The 21036-nt window shown below is 32.8% G+C and overlaps 2 protein-coding genes across 11 annotated transcripts in view; one reads left to right on the plus strand and one right to left on the minus strand.

Annotated features, from left to right (window-relative positions):
* Positions 1–10013, minus strand: part of ABCB1 (ATP binding cassette subfamily B member 1) — a 210279-nt gene extending 200266 nt beyond the window's left edge. For all 3 annotated transcript variants that reach the window (NM_001348944.2, NM_000927.5, NM_001348945.2), the window contains exon 1: positions 9879–10013. The gene's annotated coding sequence lies outside the window, so the exon portion shown is untranslated. The remainder of the gene's footprint in view (positions 1–9878) is intronic.
* Positions 1–21036, plus strand: part of RUNDC3B (RUN domain containing 3B) — a 203899-nt gene that overhangs the window by 74885 nt on the left and 107978 nt on the right. For all 8 annotated transcript variants that reach the window (NM_001394228.1, NM_138290.3, NM_001394224.1 and 5 more), the window contains one exon: positions 7288–7373. In NM_001394228.1, coding sequence (NP_001381157.1) covers positions 7288–7373 — 86 coding nt within the window. The remainder of the gene's footprint in view (positions 1–7287; positions 7374–21036) is intronic.

Here is a 21036-nt window from a genome sequence, read left to right on the forward strand (position 1 = left end):
AGCAAAACTGATGAAGATATGTTCAAATTAAATATTTTGTAAGCACGAACTGAGTATATGTTTTAAAAACCAAAATCTATAATGTTTAAATGTAGTGACATAATTAGAAACACAGGTAAAACATTTTTAGCTCCTTAATATGAAAGTACACTTTTGGATACAGTTAATAGCTATGATTTTTGTCACCTTTTTGAGACTATAACTATAAAGTTCACTTGTTAAAGCCACTGCTCCCTCCTGCCAATCTTCAACCAAGGGGTTGTAGCAACAAGGAACTTCCTGCTTCAATATCTTTCAACTCTCTCAGGTTGGATCAGTTTTCTTCTCTGTCTCACGTATTTAAGCCAGTAAATTTCTTCATTTGTAAATTAATTATAGATTTTCTTTTTTTAATTAAATTTTTCCCTCAGATATTTAAATCCTATTGTTATTACATATTAACAGATGTCTTTTTTGTCCCAACTATTGTCCTTTGACCTCTGTTTCCTCAAACTACTGAATTTTTAATTCATTTACTTACTTTTTAATTTTTGAACTATAGATTTTTAAAATATGCAGTGTGAATTCCCCTTTGCATCTTAGGTGAGCTTTATCAGTTTTTTCTTTTTTTTTTTTTTTTTTTTTTTTTTTGGTTTTTTTTTTTTTTTTTTTTTTTTTTGAGACAGTCTAGTTCTGTCGCCCAGGCTGGAGTGCAAAGGTACGATCTCAGCTCACTGCAACCTCCACCTCCCAGGCTCAAGCAATTCTCCTGCCTCAACCTCCTGAGTAGCTGGGACTACAGGCATGTGCCACCACACCTGGCTAATTTTTGTATTTTTAGTAGATACAGGGTTTCACCATATTGGCCAGGCTGGTCTCGAACTCCTGAGTTCAAGTGATCCGCCTGCCTCAGCCTCGCAAAGTGCTGGGATTATAGGCATGAGCCACAGCACCCAGCCTCAGTTTTCCTTTTATGTTTTCTTTATGGCTTAAGAATTATATCTACATTTCTTTTGGCTAAGGTTTAGGCTAAGGTTAAAGATTAGCTGTAATTTGAATGAATCAAATCTATAAAAAGTATTCTAGATGCTACATAAACATTCTCATTTTCAAATCAAAAGTAGGAGAGAGGAACATAACAGTGTATTCTAAACCCTTTCAATAGAGGGGAGGATATATTTATAAAACTAGCATATCCCAAAATACAAAAAGTAATTAAGAAGTTAACAAAGTTTAGAAATGTAGCATTTGGACCTGGGTGGACCAAAGAAACCCAAACCCTAGCTGACCAACTCTCTTAACAAGGCTCTTGGAACTAATCCCTGCACAGCAATATGTTATCTAGCAGAGAGTTAATATTTATTCTGTGAAGTACTGGTATTGAGAATCAAAACACCACAGAACAATCATGTTCCAAATCCTGCATTTATATCTTTGTTTTGCTCAGGCCTCAAACAGATTCCATTTAGTGGGGAAAGAGAATTATTTGAGTTGCCTAGTTATGCTGGGAAGAGTCTGTGGAGAAAGATTACCTCTCTTTATTCATTGCAATGAAAAGAGCAGTTTACTTAATCTACTCAGTAAGTCACATCTCACGTCTCTGGATTGAAGGATTAAACAAATGCCTCAGATGGTAGGTTTATTGAGGCTTACAGCTGCAATCTTGAATGACTACTAGCATAGTGTCATTTTGCCTTGACACATGTGAAAAGATATTTCAGACCAGAAGCACTAAATTTGCCTGGTGAACAGTATACAGTATACAAGTACACTTGTATCACAATTATATCACAATTATCTGTCCTGATACCACTTAGATTCATATTGTAGAAGCTTGTCACCATGGACAATCTCATACTTTTGTCTAGGTTAAGATCAATGGGCCAGGCGTGGTGGCTCATGCCTGTAATCCCAACACTTTGGGAGGCTGAGGCAGGTGGATCACCTGAGGTCAGCAGTTCCAGACTAGCCTGGCTAACATGGCAAAACCCTGTCTCTACTTAAAATATGAAAAATTAGCCAGGAGTGGTAGCGCATGCCTGTAATCCCAGCTACTTGGGAGGCTGAGGCAGGAGAATCGCTTGAACCCAGGAGGCAGAGGTTGCAGTGAGCCGAGATCATGCCATTGCACTGCAGCCTGGGCAACAGAGCGAGACTCCATCTAAGAAAACAAACAAAACAACAACAACAAAAAAAAACAATGAAATGCTAACCATTCCCTTTCTCTGCTGTCTGTGACTAGTTTAGCCATAAGACTTAAACATAGCCTAACAATAGAATAAAATATTTGAGTTGAGGATCATGTTTGTAATCTTTGTGTCTTCAGTACTTTTGCAGCTATTATTTCTGTCATATGCAGGTGTTATGGAACATGAGACTTTTATTACATAAATTACTTAGGTTTCACACTAGAATCAGCACTCTTAGAAAAATGACTTTATCTCAGCAGGCACTGACTTATCTCATTCTTTTCTGAACTCACCCATCTTCCGCATCTGCTCTTGGGTCATATGCTCTTATAAACATATTATATGATCCCTGAAAAAAACCACTCCCAATTGAATCTTTAGTTACCACTGTTACTAACCTTGCAGATATTTACATTGGGTTTTCATGATATTCCAACTGATTTCAAGTTCAAGAAATCCCTTCTCCTTCTTGCTTTTTCATTTTCTTGGCCCCAAAATATGAGCTTTGTATTGTTCCTGAGTTCTTCCTGTCTTCTTGTATATTTTGTGAGGGATTGTCCCCCCATTTTCTTTGTTTTTAATAGCAGTTCTTGTTTTTAGCTAGATTTGGCTTTCTTAGGTTTCTGGTTGCTTATCCTGTACATTCCTTCATTGTTTAATTAGACCAGTTTCAGAATATGCTAGTTACATCAGCCATCCACATATCCATGCATCTTTCCATCCAATAAATTTGCTGTGCAAATACTGACCAGGCTAAGCAAGCTGAAGAATACAAGATATGGCCATGATTAAAAGTCAGATATTATTCTCAGTGCAGTGGGGGAGCTACTTGAGAGTTTTTTTTTTAAGTGATAGAATACTGTAATCTGATTTCCATTTTATAAGATCAGCTTGGTGCTGTAGGGATAATAAATTGAAGGGAGGAGTAGAAGCAGAGAATTTATTGAGAAGGGTGTAATTGGAATCTAAAACAGAGTCGATCCCAAAGGTAAGAAAACAATCAGGTTCCAGTGATAACAGAATATCTTGTATCAGAGGGACCTACTGCTGAGAACAACTATAAAAGTTGAATAAAATATGTGAAGTAACAAATTTAAGATATAAGGGAGCAACCAAGGCATGAGAACTTGAGTGGCCACAGTCCTGGAGAGATGGATATTACACGAGCTGAGCCGCACATCCATCTTTGCTTTAGCCTAAAGTTGTTTGTCTATTCACATCCTAGGTATAGAGACTAAGCAGAAAGTTGTGGAGGTGGAGATTTTTATTTCCTTGGGCAGACAAACAGAAGTTGGAGCTTGGAACTGCCACTGAACAACAGACAAATGTGCCTGGAGTTGTGCATGCAGTTTTCCTATGGGGTTGTTGCCAACTCTAAGTCATCTGTAGCTCAAAGCAAAGTCCCATAAACAAAGCTGAAAGCAGCAGGGAAGAGGTAAAACTGCTGATTGATGATTTCACAGTCTAGTTCTGGAGAGATAGAGGTTAGAGTTCAAGGGCAAGCAAGGTGAAGGGGAACTGTAAACACTCCAGGTTTTTACTTGAGACCCCTGAAAGACAATATCTTTGGAGTAAGGGAAATTCAGAAGATTAATACAAAAAAAGGCCTAAAAGTAGTCCCCTAAATTGTGAGGTGATTTTCTAGTACTCTGACTGACTGCCAAAAGAAAAATCTACTCTGGAGAAAGGTAGCCTCAGAGTTGCTATAAATTTTCATACAGAATGTCTAGTATACAGTAAAAAATCATCAGGCACATCAAGAAACAAGATTGAATGACTGAAATCAAGAAAAATGAAAAAGACAATTGAAACAAACCTATGGGTGATAGAGACTTTGGACTTTTAAGCAATTATAATAGGTTCAAGAAAATGGAAATAAATATGAATATTACTAGACAACTGAAATACATAAAATTACTAGATTATTGGAATATGTTAAAATTCAAAGGCCGGGTGTGATGGCCTTTAATCCCAGCACTTTGGGAGACCAAGGTGAGCAGATCACTTGAGCTCAGGATTTCAAGACCATTCTGGGCAACATGGCGAAACCCAGTCTCCACAAAAAATACAAAAATTAGCCAGGTGTGGTGGCACGCACCTGTAGCCCCAGCTACTCAGGAGGCTGAGGTGGGAGGGTCACTTGAGCTTGTGAGGCAGAGGTTGCAGTGAGCTTAGATCGCACCACTGCACTCCAGCCTGGGTGATAGAGCAAGACCCTGTCATAAAATAAAATAAAATAAATAAATAAAATAAAATAAAATAAATACTGCAAAATATACATTCTTATCATACACCCAGTGGAGTTATATTAAATTGACCATTTTCTGAGCCATAGTTTATCTCAGTGAATTGCAGAGGATTGAAATTGTGTAAAGTATGTTCTCTAACCACAGTGGAATTAAGCTAGAATCAAAAATATGGAAAAATGACTAGAAAATGTTTATATGAGTGAAACTGAGGAGAACTTCTAAATAACCCATGGATGAAAAAATAAATCACAATTGAAATTGAAAAATATTTGGAAAGTACTGATAATGAAAATATAACATATAAAAACTTGTGCTTAGAGGAATAGGCTTAAATAGGCTTTTGTGTATTTTAAAAAAGAATAGAGGCTGGAAATTGGTTACCAAAACTTTCATCTCAAGAAGCTATGAAAAAAGAAATACATTAAAGTCAAAGTAGAAGGAAAGAAATAACAGTAAAAATTCAATAAAATTGAAACAAATATATAAGAAAATCAACCAAACTAAAAGTGTTTTTAAAAAGATTAATGCAGTTGATAAGCTTCTAGCAAGACTATTCAAGAAGATCAAAAGATAATATAAATTACCGATATGAGGAATGAAGAAGAGGCCAAGTGTGTATATCTCACAGACATTAAAAATCCTAAAAGAGGATATTATGAATAACTTCACATCTATTATATAAATTTGAAAATTTAGAAGAAATGGGAAATTTCTTTTAAAAAATTACTCACCAAAACTAACACGAAAAGGATGGAAATATCTGGATATGTGATATTTTTGCTAAAGAAATGTAATCTATAGTTAAAAATCATCCCATTGCAAGCCCATTTTTAAATTGTTTTCTTCTTATGGGTTTTTAAGAGTTAATTGTATTTTATGGATAAGAGTTGTCTGTCAGATATTTATAATTTAATTTTAATTTTCCCACTCTGTGCTTTTTTTTCTTTTTTTAAACTCTCTTAAATGCTGACAGCTCATTCCCTGAAACAGGAAAGAAGGTGGAGTGTATAGGTATTAACATAATTAGGCTGGTCAGTTTGGTGGTGGTAAAATGAATTTCTTCTCTTCTAATTGTGTCTGTTTTTCATTTGTGCATAAAGTAGGGATAGTATTGTAACCTAACTCACACAATTATTGGGAGGATTACTTATCTTCTTAATGTATATAAAGCTCTAAAACAGGGCTTAGCACATATTAATTACATTTTTAAATCTTGATTACTTTTACTTATTTTTTCATAAACCTTCATTTTATGGATCACCCTTATCAACTGAAAACATCTAAATTCCTTAATCTAGTTTTTAAGTTGTTCTACTTCTTGGCCCAAACAATCTTTATAAGTCTGTTTGTCTTCTGTTCTATTAAAAGTTCCTTTGTTAAAGAAAAGAAACCATTAAAATTAGCACAACTTATCCTTATAATATAACAGGATTCCATACACATTCAAATACAGGAAACTAAATGCAGCCCAGTTTTGTATGGATTGAAATTAATAAATCAGGAAGCAAGATTTTCCCTACATTTCTTATCTAGTAACAGCATAGTCTCCTGTGCTGAATTGTCTCTGGAGAGCAACTTTCTTGACTTCATTGGTGAAATTGTAGCCTTTTGATTCAAGACACCGCTACTAGTTTCTGTGTCTTTTAGATGAAATTTCAAGAGAGAATTTTGAGACTACTGGCCAGCCAGTAGCTTGCCTCTTCCTTCCTCTGTTCCAATCAGCTACAGCTAACTGCAGGTTCCCCTAGGCTTACTCAGAAGGAACAATGGACTGAGCACAGGGCAAGCTAAAAGGGATGTTGAGCTTGGTAGGTAAATTGACTCGCATGCTAACCATACCCTTATCATTCATTTTCTTCCCAGTAGTACTGCTGCTTCTAGCCTGACAGGTTTTAACTACTGCCTATATTGACTCCTTTGTGACCTTTCCTATCCCATAGTTTGGTGAATTCACTAGACTTGCAGACATTTCTAGAGTATGTTTTTTCCCTTTCTGGTAGTTGACAATCATATATATTGATTAGTGTCACCTTTATACTGCCATTGCAGTGTTTCAATTTTCTATGTATTTAGTCTTCATGAAGTTTTTTAGAGATTTGTGAAAGAGTTGAGTGAAAATGAAAATAATTGATTTATGAAGTTCTTACTACAAATATGATCTCTTATATTCTTTAGTTCTAAATAGAAAGTCCGTAAGAAAATTAATTACTTTTAGTAAGAATTGTCTGTTTCTGTGATTCTGTGCTAGAATATGCTGGCTTCTGTTTTTTGTTGTTGTTGTTTGTTTTTCTAGTTTAAATATTTGGTAATAGCTTTTAGAATTCTCTGGGGACACCCAAATTCAATAGCTCATGATTTGGATTCATTATATATAATGAAATTTGGATTTTATTACTAGTTGTATAAAACCTCCCACTGAAAGGATAGGATTGAAAATTTTCTTAAATAAGTGATGTTAGACTGATTATTTTCATTAATGAGAGAGAACTCTGTTTTTCATGATTTATGAGAGGGCTCATTTTAATTAGTTTGTTGATTTGCGGTATTGAAGTAGAGAGTTATATCTTATATAATTACATCATGTAATTCAAAAGAAGTCTCTAACCCAAGTAACTCAGTATTAACGTTCTGTCCCTTCAGAGGATAGAAAGTTAGTTTGACATGCTGTACCCTACATATTCAGAGAAACAAAATATATACTCTAGATAATCAAAATTTACCTATTTTTATCTACTTAAACATTTTTCTTAGTCGTTATCAAATGTATATTTTGAATGGCTGTTCTTTACATATTAAAATATTTTTGATGGCACAGTGGCAAAATATTTTTTTAATTTTTTTTATATTTGATTCTTTCTTCTTCCTTTTAGGGTAGAGCCTGGATCAGAGTAGCACTCATGGAAAAACATTTATCTGAATACATCTCTACAGCTCTGAGAGACTTCAAAACAACCAGGTTTAAAAGTCCTTTTAATTTTCTAATATATATTTGAAAGAATCACCTGAAGACTCAGAAATCAGAATAGGATGAAGAATCAATTTCTAAAATCCTCAACTGTTTTATTTCCTCCTTTTGTTACTACTCAGATAAATCCACTGTCTTCTTAGGAAAATGTAATTTGTCAACTAAACATACATCTACCTTTCTGTAAAAAGATACACATTACGCCTGGAATATCCTTTTTCTAAATCATTTCTGATTCATACTCTTTCAACTCTTGAAGCTTCATTCTCCCCATAGACTATTCCCTGATGGATTTGAATTTAAGTATGAAATTTCAATAGCATCTTTTTTCTTTTCACCTCAGTATTTCCTTATTTTTTTGCTTGTAAAGAATATACATTGGCCGGGCACGGTGGCTCACACCTATAATCCCAGCACTTTGGGAGGCCGAGGCTGGCAGATCACCTGAGGTCTGGAGTTCAAGACCAGCCTGACCAACATGGATAAACCCCGTCTCTACTCAAAATACAACATTAGCCAGGCATGGTGGTGCATGCCTGTAATCCCAGCTACTCGGGAGGCGGAGGTAGGAGAATAGTTTGAACCCAGGAGGCAGAGGTTGTGGAGAGCCGAGATTGAGCCATTGCACCGCAGCCTGAGCAACAAGAGAGAAACTCTGTCTCAAAAAATATATATATATAAAATTAATAATTTACTTATTTAATTCATATGTATAATTAGTTATTGCTTATCTTTTTAGAACAATCTAAACCATTGTTTTTCTTGGATTGTATAAAGATGACATCCTGTGCCATGTGAAAAATAGGACTTTGTTGATTTTTTATGATGGTAGAAAAGGGTACATATTAGGACAACAGTCATTCCTAATTAGCACTCATCTGCTGATCTTTATTTGTAAAGCCACTTTTCTTCAAATCAAAAGTATTTGTAAATGAAAAGATTTAATAATTTTAATAACTTAGACATAAACTGTTTAATGTAGCCACTAACACATGCCATGTATAAATTTAAATTAATTAATATTACATAAAATTGCAAATTTAGTTTCTCAAGTGCTGTATCACATTTCAGATGTCCCATTGCCACATGTAGCTAATGGTAACCCAATTGGACAGATTTAGAGTGTTTTCCTCATCACAGAAGGTTCTATTGGTCGGAGCTGCCTGAGATATTTCTAAACTACCGTTCTTTTTTCTACCTCATTAATCATATTTCTGAAAGAAAAGAAAATAATTACAACTATAAACTAGTTTTGATAGAAAAAAATAAGCACAAAGAAATCATATCTCTGAGATCTTAACTTCCATATCCTAATACAGGGTTTGACATTCTGGATTTTGAGAAAATCTGGGCATTTATTATGACACATTCTTTCAACTAACTAGCTGGTACTAATTAAGTATCTTTATTTAGTTGCCTCTATCTTTATTGGTAATATAATAGTAAACTTTTAATTTTGAGATACAAAGAAAATAATTGTCATGATTGTAAGTTTGACCAGGATAGAAAGACTTTTGGCTGAAAGAAATATTTGCATAAAGTAAATCTGATATATACTTATTTAACTTCTTTTCAAGCAACATGACACTCGAGATATTTCTAAAGATAAACAGTGAGATGATGATAAAACCTTAGACATTTGAAATGAACTTTATAAAATGAAACATTTATCATTACTAAGTTTCATTATGAAACTTGATAAGCATTGAGGATACTAAGGCTTTGAAAATGAAAACAAAGAATCGTATCAGAATCGAGTAGCTCAAATCTAAAAATCCTACATTAATTAAATCAAAATCAAGTTTGCATAGTAATCATTTCCTATGCAAGTAGAATATTGAATCAAAGTTATGATAGTCTTTTCCAAATAGAAATTAAATAATTAATAATCTCTCTAAATTGTTAGTCTTGTTTCTTAGTTTAAATGATTGGGTGGGGTAGAAATAATTCTTCAATAGATTATTTTTAGAACAAGTAGTTTAAATATTTAAAGGAAATGCTTTCTGCCTTGTTCTTAAGTGTTAACCATGCTTTTTCATAGAAAGGAAATGATTCAGCTCTAAAAAAGTACATGAAGTAAAAATATTCCTGTAACCATACATAAACATACAGTCTTCAAACAGAAACATGGCTTGGCGTACAATGTCATATATATGTATCTGATACATAGATATATGCACACATACATATAATATTTACACATACACATTTATCGAATAATAGGATTTAAATGTGAATATAATGGCTTTGGAACTCTTAAGAAAGGAAGTAAGTAGGGAGTTATTTCAAAGTTTTTATCTTAGAAGTTAACTAAAAAATGCGGCAAAAAAATCTTATTTTTCTCCCCCTATTTACACTAATTTTTTTTACTGAGATGAAACCAAAGAAATTCTTAATTCTAATTAAATTTGATTGCAAACTTCTAGTCAAGACAAATATATTCATAAGATTAGATTTGTAAAATACAAACAATTAGAAAGAGTATTTGTACCTTACCTTTTATCTGGTTGCTTCCTGAAGTGAGTACTCCTAGGAGAATGAGAAATGATCTCTAATCTTTAGGAATCTGGAGAATATCTGAATAAAGTAGATTTCTTCATGTTCTACTCTTCACAGGTAAAGAGTAATGATAGCCTTTAAAATGGTAATACAAGTGTTTATCCCAGTACCAGAGGAGGAGCTACATGAACTAAGGCAGGCAGGCTTGAAAGCACTAATCAGTGAAAACCCAAGGATAAGTTTGGGTGGAGGAAGGGTGGGAGTAGAGATAAAATAAATTTTGAGTACATGACTATGGCTCCAAAGCATTGAAGAAATATGTGTGATCTTTTTGCTAAGGTGTAGGACGTCTTAATGAGCAGTTGAAAAAACAAACAAAAACCTCGAAGAGTTACATGGCTTAGGGATTGGGGTATAATTGAAAAATAGCCAGAGTTGAGAAGTTTAGCCAGAATAGGCAGAATGAAGATTAGAATCTAAGCTAAAAAAAAAAAAAAAAAAGAGAGAGACTTCTTTTGGTAGGTTACTGGGAAGACCTTCAAATGAGAAGTGAAGTAAAAATTGAATTAATTTGTTCAAATTTTTAATTTCTCTTTATCCACTGGCTAAAAAATAATTAGTAAATTTCAATTTAAAATACCATATGATATTTCAAACAAAATTGAAAATGTAACAAGAATTTGAAGTAATAAGTATGGAAAATATAAAGATAAATTAGCTTTATGGAAATTCATTTGTTTACTTTGCAATTATATCAGTATTTAATTTATAATGAAAAAGTTGTGTTCCAAAGAAATGTTAATTTTCACAATGTTTTAGCACAAATTGAAGGAAGGAGTAAAGTATAAAATAAAACTTTGTAAATGACTGAGCTGTCACAGAGAGAAAAAATGAGTTGACAAATACTTTTCTCAATTACAGAAAAGTAGACAGAATAGTGATAAGTAACCAAAATCTTTTAAGAGTTAAGAATGCATTTTGGAATCTGTGTATGTATTGTGGGATCTGGCCAGCAGCCTGCAATGCAACGGGGCTCTCTCTTTGTTCTTAGGCGGATCGGCAGGTTGAGAAATAATAGACACACACAAGATAGTGAAAGCTGGGTCCAGGGGGGTCACTACCTTCTGGTCCCACGGTGCCAACAATGCACTGGATATACCAGCATTTATTATTAAGTTTAGTGAGGGCAGGGGTAGGTTAGTGAGGGATTTAGGGTCATTTGATTATGAGGTGAGATGGTCACATGGGGATGAAGTAATTCTTTAACATAACATTTGTATATAGAAGTACAGTACATTTGTATGGAGAAGTACAGTATACAGAGATAAGAATTTACAATATAGTGTGTGTGTTAGTAATTTCTAACAGAGCCTTAAAACAGAAACACAATCTTTCCATAACCTATGATTAGCAAGATATTAATCAGCAGTAACAGTTGCAACAAAAGCTGGTTACAAACAATCCATGGAAATAGGACGTGAAGATAGACAACTGGTTAGACGAGAAATTCTCAGAAAGGAGTATGCCTTAACCCTAAAGAGGTGTAGAAGAGCCATGGCAAGATGAGGACGTTTATAGCCCTATCTTATCCATATGGACAGGCACCCCCCCGCCCCATGCATCCGTTTATAGGCTCTCCACAAGGGTCGCATTCCATTCCTAGAGCTATGAACATCTGCTTTTCTGGGATAGGAATCTTGGTGATGTGAAACCTCCCTGACCGCACGTCCATTCATAGGCTCTCTGCAGGGGGAAGCACGTCACGCGCTGTTGGCTCATTCTGGCAGTCCAACCTGGCATTGTCTTTACACAATACTGCATGCAATTTTGTATTTACAATAATTAGGAGCATTTCATCTTTTATTCTGTAGCAATAGTTTCAGGGGGTCTCCCTACATCTTTCTCTATTCCTTTCACTGTGAGCAAAAAGTTTGACTTAAGTAAAAGGCAGCAAATTCAATGCAATAACTCCAGTGAAGCCACAGGTAGTGTGAAATGCTATAAAGGATGAGGGAAATATAAATATTATATATATAATATTATAAATATATAATATTTAATATATAAGGACTTTATATATATAATTATATTATATATAATTAATTTATAATAATTATATATAATTAATTTATAATAATTATATATAATTAATTTATAATAATTATATATAATTAATTTATAATAATTATATATAATTAATTTATAATAATTATATAATCAATATAATATAATATATTTAATATTTAATATAATATATTTAATATATAATTATATTAATATAATATATAATTATATTATATTAATTTATATTAATATATAAATAATACATATAATTATATTATATATAATTAATTATATATATAACATTTAATATATAATATATTAATATAATATATTAAAGGACTAGAATGTGGGCATTAATAGCTATTTTAATAATTTCTCTTTAACTCTTAGAGACAACAGAAGCCATTGGAATAGAAGCATTTCATCATAGGAAGGACAATATTGACTGATTGATTGATTGCTTTGTCACACTAGTTGTCTTGTTAGGAATAAACTGTAGAGGGCAAGGGCAAAAATCAGAAAGGCCAGTCAAGAGACTATTGCAACAATTCCAGTGAGAGATGGTGACTTGATCAGAAAGGCTTATTAACTGACCAATTACTGAAGGGAAGCTGGAGGGAATGGAGAATGGAAAAGTTTTGAAACGGTCTGTATGGAGTAAGTGCGTGATATTGGAAGGAAAGTCACTGACAAGGAGAGAATAGAGTAACGGAAATAAAGACAGGAATTATCATTAAAATACTTGATGATTGCATATAGGCAATTTGCAAAGAGGAAGAGTAGGAATACAAAGAATACTAAGAGAATACTTGCTAGAAGTGCCAAAAACAGGCAAAAATTAATTGATTAATTAATTAATTTTTAAAAAAATAAAAAATAAACCACGTTCAGAGTGATTACCACTTTGGGAAATCTGCCTACCATCATTAAAATTGACAGACACTGGTGGCCACTAACTTAGTTTAGTCAGGTCCAACTGTCAGAATGACATGACTCCTGTCACTGTTGCCAGATTTGTGGGATATTGGAGCCAACGTAAAATGGTTTTCAAGCTTATTCTGAGAATATAGAAAGTTACCAAATAAAAAGAGGAGCAAAGTTTGTTTTTCCCTGAAGATTTCCTGAGTGAGCTTTACAAAAACTTTTGAATTCTCTGAAAATATACTGAATCATGTTCTGTTCTGTTTCTGAACTGTTTGAACCTCTTGGGACCTGTAGGAATTGCTAACAAGCTCTTAAATGTCTCCATTGCACCATATCATTTTTAGACCAATTTATCTCATCTTTGGGCAATGTGCTATACACAAAATATTTCTGTTTTATGTTTCTTTTCTAATTTGTCTCTGCGTAGCCTGCAAACTAGTGAAGTTCTTTGCCCTCCATCAGATAGGAATAAGAAAGCCAAGAAACTAAGTTTCTAACACAAAGTGCAAGGTTTTCCCATAAATTTTAAGTTCTTTTTTGATAAGATGTCTAGTGAGAAGTGAAGGCTATATACAGCTGTTTACTGTACAACTGTTACAGCTGTACATGATTAGTGTAGAAATTTAAAACAAGTAAAATTTTTGGTATTTGCAATGTAGTTTAATTGTGTATAATTATGATATTATTACTTCTATGATTTTTTAAGATAGGGTCTCACTCTGTCTTCTAGGCTGCAGTGCAGTGGCACAGTCATGGCTCACTATAGCCTTGACCTCTCAGGCTCAAGCCATCTTTCCAAATTAGTTGGCTAACTTTTAAAACTGGTTTGTGGAAACAGAGTCTCACTATGTTGCCCAGGGCAGTTTGTAACTCCTGTGCTCAAGTATCCTCTTGCCTCAGCTTCCAAAGTGCTGGAATTCCAGGTGTGAGCCACTGTGCCTGGCCTACTTCTATCATTTTTCTTTCCCTTTTTAAATTAAACTCTTGGGTTAAAGGTAAAATACAATCCAAAAGTGTTTTTTAATAAAAATCATGGATAATGGAGGTATTCTATATCAGGACACCTGTAATACATTCAAGAATGTAGCCAGAAAAAGTTTTATAGCCCTAAACCCTTTTATTAATAAAAATACAAATTATAAATGAATGAAATTTTCATGTTAAACAAGATAAGAAAAACAAACAGAAAAAATAAAGGAACAATAAAGCAAAAAATAAACAATATTTGCTTTATCAATTTATCTAAATTGAGAAACACATAATTACTAAATAAAAATAATATTTTTTGGTAAAAAATTTTCAAGAGAGACCAATTACTAGCTACCTTAACTGAGGTATATGTATAATAAAAGGACAAGGAGGAAGTAACCATTGACATGACATATGATGCATTTAAAAAATCCTACAATCTCTCTGTTATATATTTGAAAGATATAATGATAATTTCCTACAGAAATATAATTTGCCCAAATAGGCCCTACTATATGTAAAAAATTTAAATAAGCTAATTTCTCTATCAGGAAAAGAAAAATTTATCAAGACACTTCCTCAAAATCAATCATTAAGCCCAGATGATTTCAAGGAAGACTTGTATCAAAATTTCAAAGCCTGGATAGTCCCAATGATTTTGAAAATTTTTGCACCTTATAAAAAAGAAAATTTCAAAAAATTAAGGAAAATCTAATACTTTTTGTAAAGTAAGTATGACATTTATACCTAAACCTAATACAGTTAGAAAAGAAAATTATAGACAAATATCAGTTATTAATATTGATTGAAATGTAAAAATATTAGTAACAATATAACACATCATTAAGAAACTGATACATTTTGATCAAGTGTGATTTATTCTGGGAATATGATATTGATACAATATTAGGAAATTCATTGATATAAAAACCATATGAATCTTCTGGTTTGATGATTTGCTAGGAGGACTCATAGTCTTATTCATGGCTATCATATATTACAGTAAAAGGATGCAAAGCATATAAGTAAAGGGAAAAGGCATATGCGGCAATGTCCAGTGAAAAACAAGTATGAAAGTTTCTAGGAGTCCTTTCCCTGTGGAATCATATGGGCTGTGCTTAATTCCCTCAGCAACAACTTTGGACAACATACATGAAATGCTGTCCACCAGGGAAGCTCATTAGGGATTTAGTGCCTAGGGTTTCTATTAGGGGATAGTCAGGAGGCACCTTCTGCCTAGCACCTATCAAAATTCCAGACTCCTAGAAGGAAAGAAAAAGGTTAGCATAAACTACATTTTTTGTACAAGCAGTTTAGGCACAGTGAGCCATTCTTACCCATCAGAGTGATGGTAATCCTTCCAAAATCTAAGTTCTCAGCATCAGCCAAGCCTAATCTTTTAATCAGGCCTTTCGAAGGATAGAAATCAGGTCTGCTATATGTTAACTCTTTCTGCACACCATATTCATACATCTAAAAGTAAAAACCAGCTATTTTTCCTCTACAGAAGATGGAAAGTCCTTTACAAAATGTATGATTTATTCCTGAGAGATGAAAAAAAGTACAAAATTGTTAATTGATGTTTACTTTCTTAACATGATATGGGAATTTTATATAATCTTAGTCCTAGAATCAGTATTTTACTTAATTCAGAAACACTACTTGTATTTCCAATAAGATTTTAAAGAATGTATTGCACTCTTCTTACTAATGTTCAACTTAATAGTAGAGGTTAGCCAATTCAGTTAGACAAAATGAATCATTTAGAGACATAAGAATCAGAAACAAAAAGGAAAGCTATTTATATTTGTAGATGATAAGGTTTTGTAACTAGAAAACCGTAGAGATTCAGTAATAAAACTAAATTAAAATAAAACAATTCAACAGTACAGTAAACATTAAAATAGCATATCTAATACATATACACAAGTAACACATGTAACATAGTTACACAGGTAACATAACACAGGTAACACAGGTAACATAGTTACACAGGTAACATAATAACACATAAAATCAATATTCAACAATAACTATAAAATACTAAGAGATAAGTGTAAGAAGAAATGTGTAAAATCTACATGAAAAAAATTTAAAAGGCCTGAAAAATATAAAATTAAAATTATTAAAATGGGAAGAAGTCTTTTACTTTTGTGTGAGGTGCTTAAACTTTATAGAATACAGCTTAGCTCCCTATAAGTTAATTTATAATTTGGCTGCAATCTCTATGTTAATAAGTTTCTTTACATAATTAGACAAGTTGATACTGAAATTACATGTAAAAATAAACATACAAAATAAATATAAAAAATATACAAAAGAAATATAAACATATAAAAGTATACAAAATGTACAAAAATACACAAGTAAATATACAAAATTAACTTGGAAATACTAAAAAGAAAGCTGTAGTATAGGGGAAGAAATTAGCTTTACCCGATACTAAACATACTATATAAAAACCTTACAATTAAAACTGTGCATTGGTGCATGCAGACATACAGTGAAATAGGATAAAGAAGTAGTTATATAATAGAAATAAATGCAAGTAAAAAATAAACTTTAGTTTATGATAAAGGTAGAATCTTAAAACACTGAGGTGATGAGGAGATTTGTAATGCATAGCTCTGGGATCAATCAATCAATCAGTTTGCCATTTTGAAAAAGACATAATTAAATCCCTTCTCACATTATATAAAATAATAATTAAAATAAATGTAGTATTTACTTTTTTAAAGAAATCAAAACATTTCAGGATGAGATAAAACAGAGATGAATTTCTATATAACCCTATGTAGGTAAAATTCTTCTAAGTCTGAATAAAATTTCAGAGGTAATGAAAAAAATTAGTGGAACATTTGACTACATCCAAAAAAAAAAAAAAAAGAGAAAGAAAAACTTTGCAAAGCAAAAACACCATATAGAAACATCAAAATACAATTGAAAAACTGGGAGAAAATATTTGCAACATTATTTTAACAATAAAAGACTTTTTTAATTAATACAAATTGGGAGGAAAAGACTAAAAATTTGATAGAAACATAAGGGCAGAGATGTAAACTGACAACTCACAAGAATATGTCAAAAGCTCTTAGACATATGAACATTTATTTAACTTTTCTTATTATAAGGGAATTATCAATATAAACTGAGATATTATTTCTTTTATGTCATTTTAGCCAAGTTTAGATAGAAAGATGAGAGAGAGAGACAGACAGGCTGATGGAGGAGTTACAGCACTCTTTGGTGAGGATATGTGGAAAATGCACTCCCATGAACTTCTGAGGAAATGCACATTCCTAAAGAAGGATTTTTGGTTTTATCCAAAAAATCTACATAGTAACTTACGGCTAAGCAATTTCACTTCCACAAATCTAAGCAAAAGATAGGATATCACAAATTTAAGCAGAAGATAGGATATATGTGTGTGTGTGTGTGTGTGTGTGTGTGTGTGTATGCAATAATTATAATTTTCTTTTTTTTTTTCTTTTCTTTTTTTTAGACAGAGTCTCACTCTGTCACCCAGGCCAGAGTGCAGTGGTGAGCTCTGGCTCACTGCAGCCTCCACCTCCTGGGTTCAAATGATTCTCCTGACTCAGCCTCCTGAGTAGCTGGGACTACAGACGCGTGCCACCACGCCCTGCTAATTTTTTGTATTTTTAGTAGAGACAGGGTTTCACCATGTCAGTCAGGATGGTCTCGATCTCCTAACCTCATGATCCACCTGCCTTGGCCTCCCAAAGTGCTGGGATTACAGGCGTGAGCCCTCGTGTTTGGACATTTAGCTAATTTTTAACTATAATATTTTAAATAGTTAAAATTAGCTATTTTAACTATTTAAAATATTATAGTTTAAAATTAGCTAAATGTCCAATTAAATGTATAATTTAAAATATTATAGTTAAAATTAGCTAAATGTCAAAACAAAGGAGATTGACTAAATCAGAAATGTATGCAGACACAGAGTACTATGTAACTGTAAAAAAAGAAAATTTTAAGTTAATAGAGTATGATTATATTATAATTGTATATATAATTATAATATGTAGCAGGCTATTTTTAGGTAAAATAAAAGTATAAAAAAACTATACTCTATGTTGTGTTTAAAAATGGGAGGAGATAATAAAACATTCTGGTGGCTCCTCTAAAATCAAAAGTGGGAATACTAAGCCAGAAAGCAGAGGTGGATGGGAACATAGTGAAAATAATAGAATGAAGGGGGTAACATGTCAGTTCTCTGAATATACATTATGGTATGCTTCTGATAATTGGAACCATGTAAATATTTCACGTATGAGAGAGTGTGAGAGAACAAAAATAATCAATAATTATGGCAAAGGTACCATAAATAAAATTCAAACAGAAATAGATGAACCAAACTAAATTCAAATAAATAATATGATCACCCTGAAATGGCTAATGAACTAACCCAGCTAAAGCATGAGGACTACATTTGGACTATATACCTTCAAGCTCAAAACAAACACACTTTTAAACAAATATTAAAGTCTAGTTAGGAAGATTTTTGCAGAATTTAGGTTAGCATTTCTGAAATTTTTTATTGCACTTTCTAAGATTGAGCAAGCAGTTAAATATAACATGAATAATTAGATCTTATTTCTCACTGTTATGCTCCTATTCTAACATTCTCTTTCTCTCTCTCTCTCTCTCTGTCTCTGTCTCTCTCTCTCTCTGATCTCATCTGTTTCTTTGAGTTCTGCTTGAACTTTTGGAATATTTTCTGTGTATTTCATGGGATATTATTAGTTATTTTATAGCGTTGCATTTTTTATTATTTCTGTAAAATGTTACCTTTATTTGCCTTTCCAAGTCTTGTCTTACATTATCACATTTTTTAAATTAAGAAACTCTCATTTTTAAATTCCGGAAACAAAATTTATCTTTTGTTCATTCTGTTTCATCAACACAGCAATAATAATTCCTTCTGCCTGTCTTTCCTTTAATTTTTTTTTTAAATTACTTGATTAGTAATTGTACTTGATGTTTTGATATATATTCATCATTTAATGATTATATCAAGCTAAGTAACATATCTATCACCTCTTATACTTATCATTTTTTGTAGTGAGGACATTTAAAATCTACTTTTTCAGTAATTTTGAAATATACAATATATTATTATTAACTATTGTCACCATTCTGTACAGTAGATCTCAAAATCTTATTCCTCTTCCCTAACTGAAATTTTGTACCTTTGATCAACACCTCCCATGCCCCTACCCCCCAGCCTCTGGTAACCACTATTCTGGTCTCTACTTTTATAAGGTCAACATTTTAAAGTTCACATGTAAGTGAGATAATGAAGTAATTGTATTTCTTTTAAACTATTCTGGCCCCTTAACCCACTTGTGAGTTTATCTGAACTTGGTTTCAAAACATGTGAGATCACTTAACAGACAAGAAAGTTAGTATGAGTGTACTGAGATTAGCAGAGGGAAGAATGTGCAACAGAAAGTAAGGAGATTACCATAATTCCTTTGACGAGTTGGGGCATCTCTTATGAAGAGTACCAAGTGGGGCCTCCATTCTCAAGGCTAAGCAGTAATGAACCTTCAGCAGCTCAGCACTACCAACTCTCTTTTTCTGCTGCTGGAATCAGTGAAATTATTTGATTCTTTCATTGGGCAACAAGTAGGCACAAGCATACTCTCTTTGCTTATTGAACTAGTTGGTATCGTTGAGAAATCAAGGGACTTGACAACTTCACAGTGTGTTCCACTGGAGAGTTAAAACTATTTCCGATTCACTGAGTCCAAGTGCAATTTCACCAACCTCTCTTCCTCAGGCACCACAAACAAACGCATCTTACACTGCAAGCTTTTCTCAAGAACGTGAAGTTGTAGTTCCATATTGTTTTTTTCTGCAGATTCTCACAGTTGTCAATGATAATGTGAATAATAATGGATTCCTTTTAACAAGAAAAATAAAAGATTGAAACAAATGAAGCACAAAAATATGAAACATAAAAGTAGGAGAATGCAATTAATTCAGCTAAACAGTAAAATTAATGGATTTTTAACTATTGAAATTAAAAGTGACCTGAATAGATAAATAAAATAGACAAATACCTAATAAGTACAGAATAATTCAACCAAAATAAAGAAATGTCTGTCAGAAGAAGGGATATATAATCACAATAGAATAAAGACTAAAATATTTGGAAATTTAGAGAAAATGGGTAATATTCAAAAAATAGTTAATTTTTAAAAATGTAGAATACTGAGACATACAGTAATAACAATATCCTCCATCAGGAAGTTGTTTAGAAATGCCCATTAGTAAATAAGTTATAACTACCTTATGATTCTTTTGAGAATTTTAGTTAAGTTTCAAAGAACAGAAATGTCCAATGCAATGCAAATGTTCACAGCCTACAGAAAAATACCAATCCATCATTAGGCTAATGTCACAGGTTGACAAAGATAATACATATGCTGTATAAATACATTTTAGTTATTAGTTTAATTATTAAAAATGAGTAAAATTACACTGAATTGAAGGTAAAAGAGTTTAAATAATGTAATTCACCATATTCAACTAAGGTTTAGCTGATATAAATACAAGACTAGGATTGTGCATTTCATATAAAAATATTTCCTGTTTCAGGTGCCTTGTTAACCCAAATTAATCAGTTATGTTATAAACACATAGTTAAGAGCTGAAAATATTTGACAAAAATCAGCCAATATTTAAAAAAAAAGTGAAATTGGAATATAGGAAAAATGTCCAAATATGATAAAGCGTCTTTGCCAACATTTAATCGTACACATCATAATAAAAGTAAAACATTAAATTCAAGGCCAGGCATGGTGGCTCACGCCTGTAATTCCAGCACTTTGGGAGGCTGAAGCAGGAGAACCATTTGAGCCCAGGAGTTGGAGACCAGCCTGGGCAACATAGTGGGATCCCATCTGTAAAAAAAAATTTAAAAACCACGTGGGTGTGGTAGTGCCTGCCTCTACTCTCAGCTACTCAAGAGGCTGAAGTGGGAGGATTGCTTGAGATTGGAAGGTCAAGGCTACAGTGAGCCTTGATCACACCATTTTACTCCAGCCTAGGTGACTGAGTGAGACCCTGTCTCTCTGAGTCCCCTGAAACCATGTCACCTGCCGTGGGGATACCAAGAACTCTTTGCTAGATTTCAGGGAAGCAGGTTATAAGACCAGGATAATGCTAT

Source organism: Homo sapiens, chromosome 7 (genome assembly GCF_000001405.40).
Source record: "Homo sapiens chromosome 7, GRCh38.p14 Primary Assembly".
In the NCBI taxonomy this organism is placed as follows: domain Eukaryota; kingdom Metazoa; phylum Chordata; class Mammalia; order Primates; family Hominidae; genus Homo; species Homo sapiens.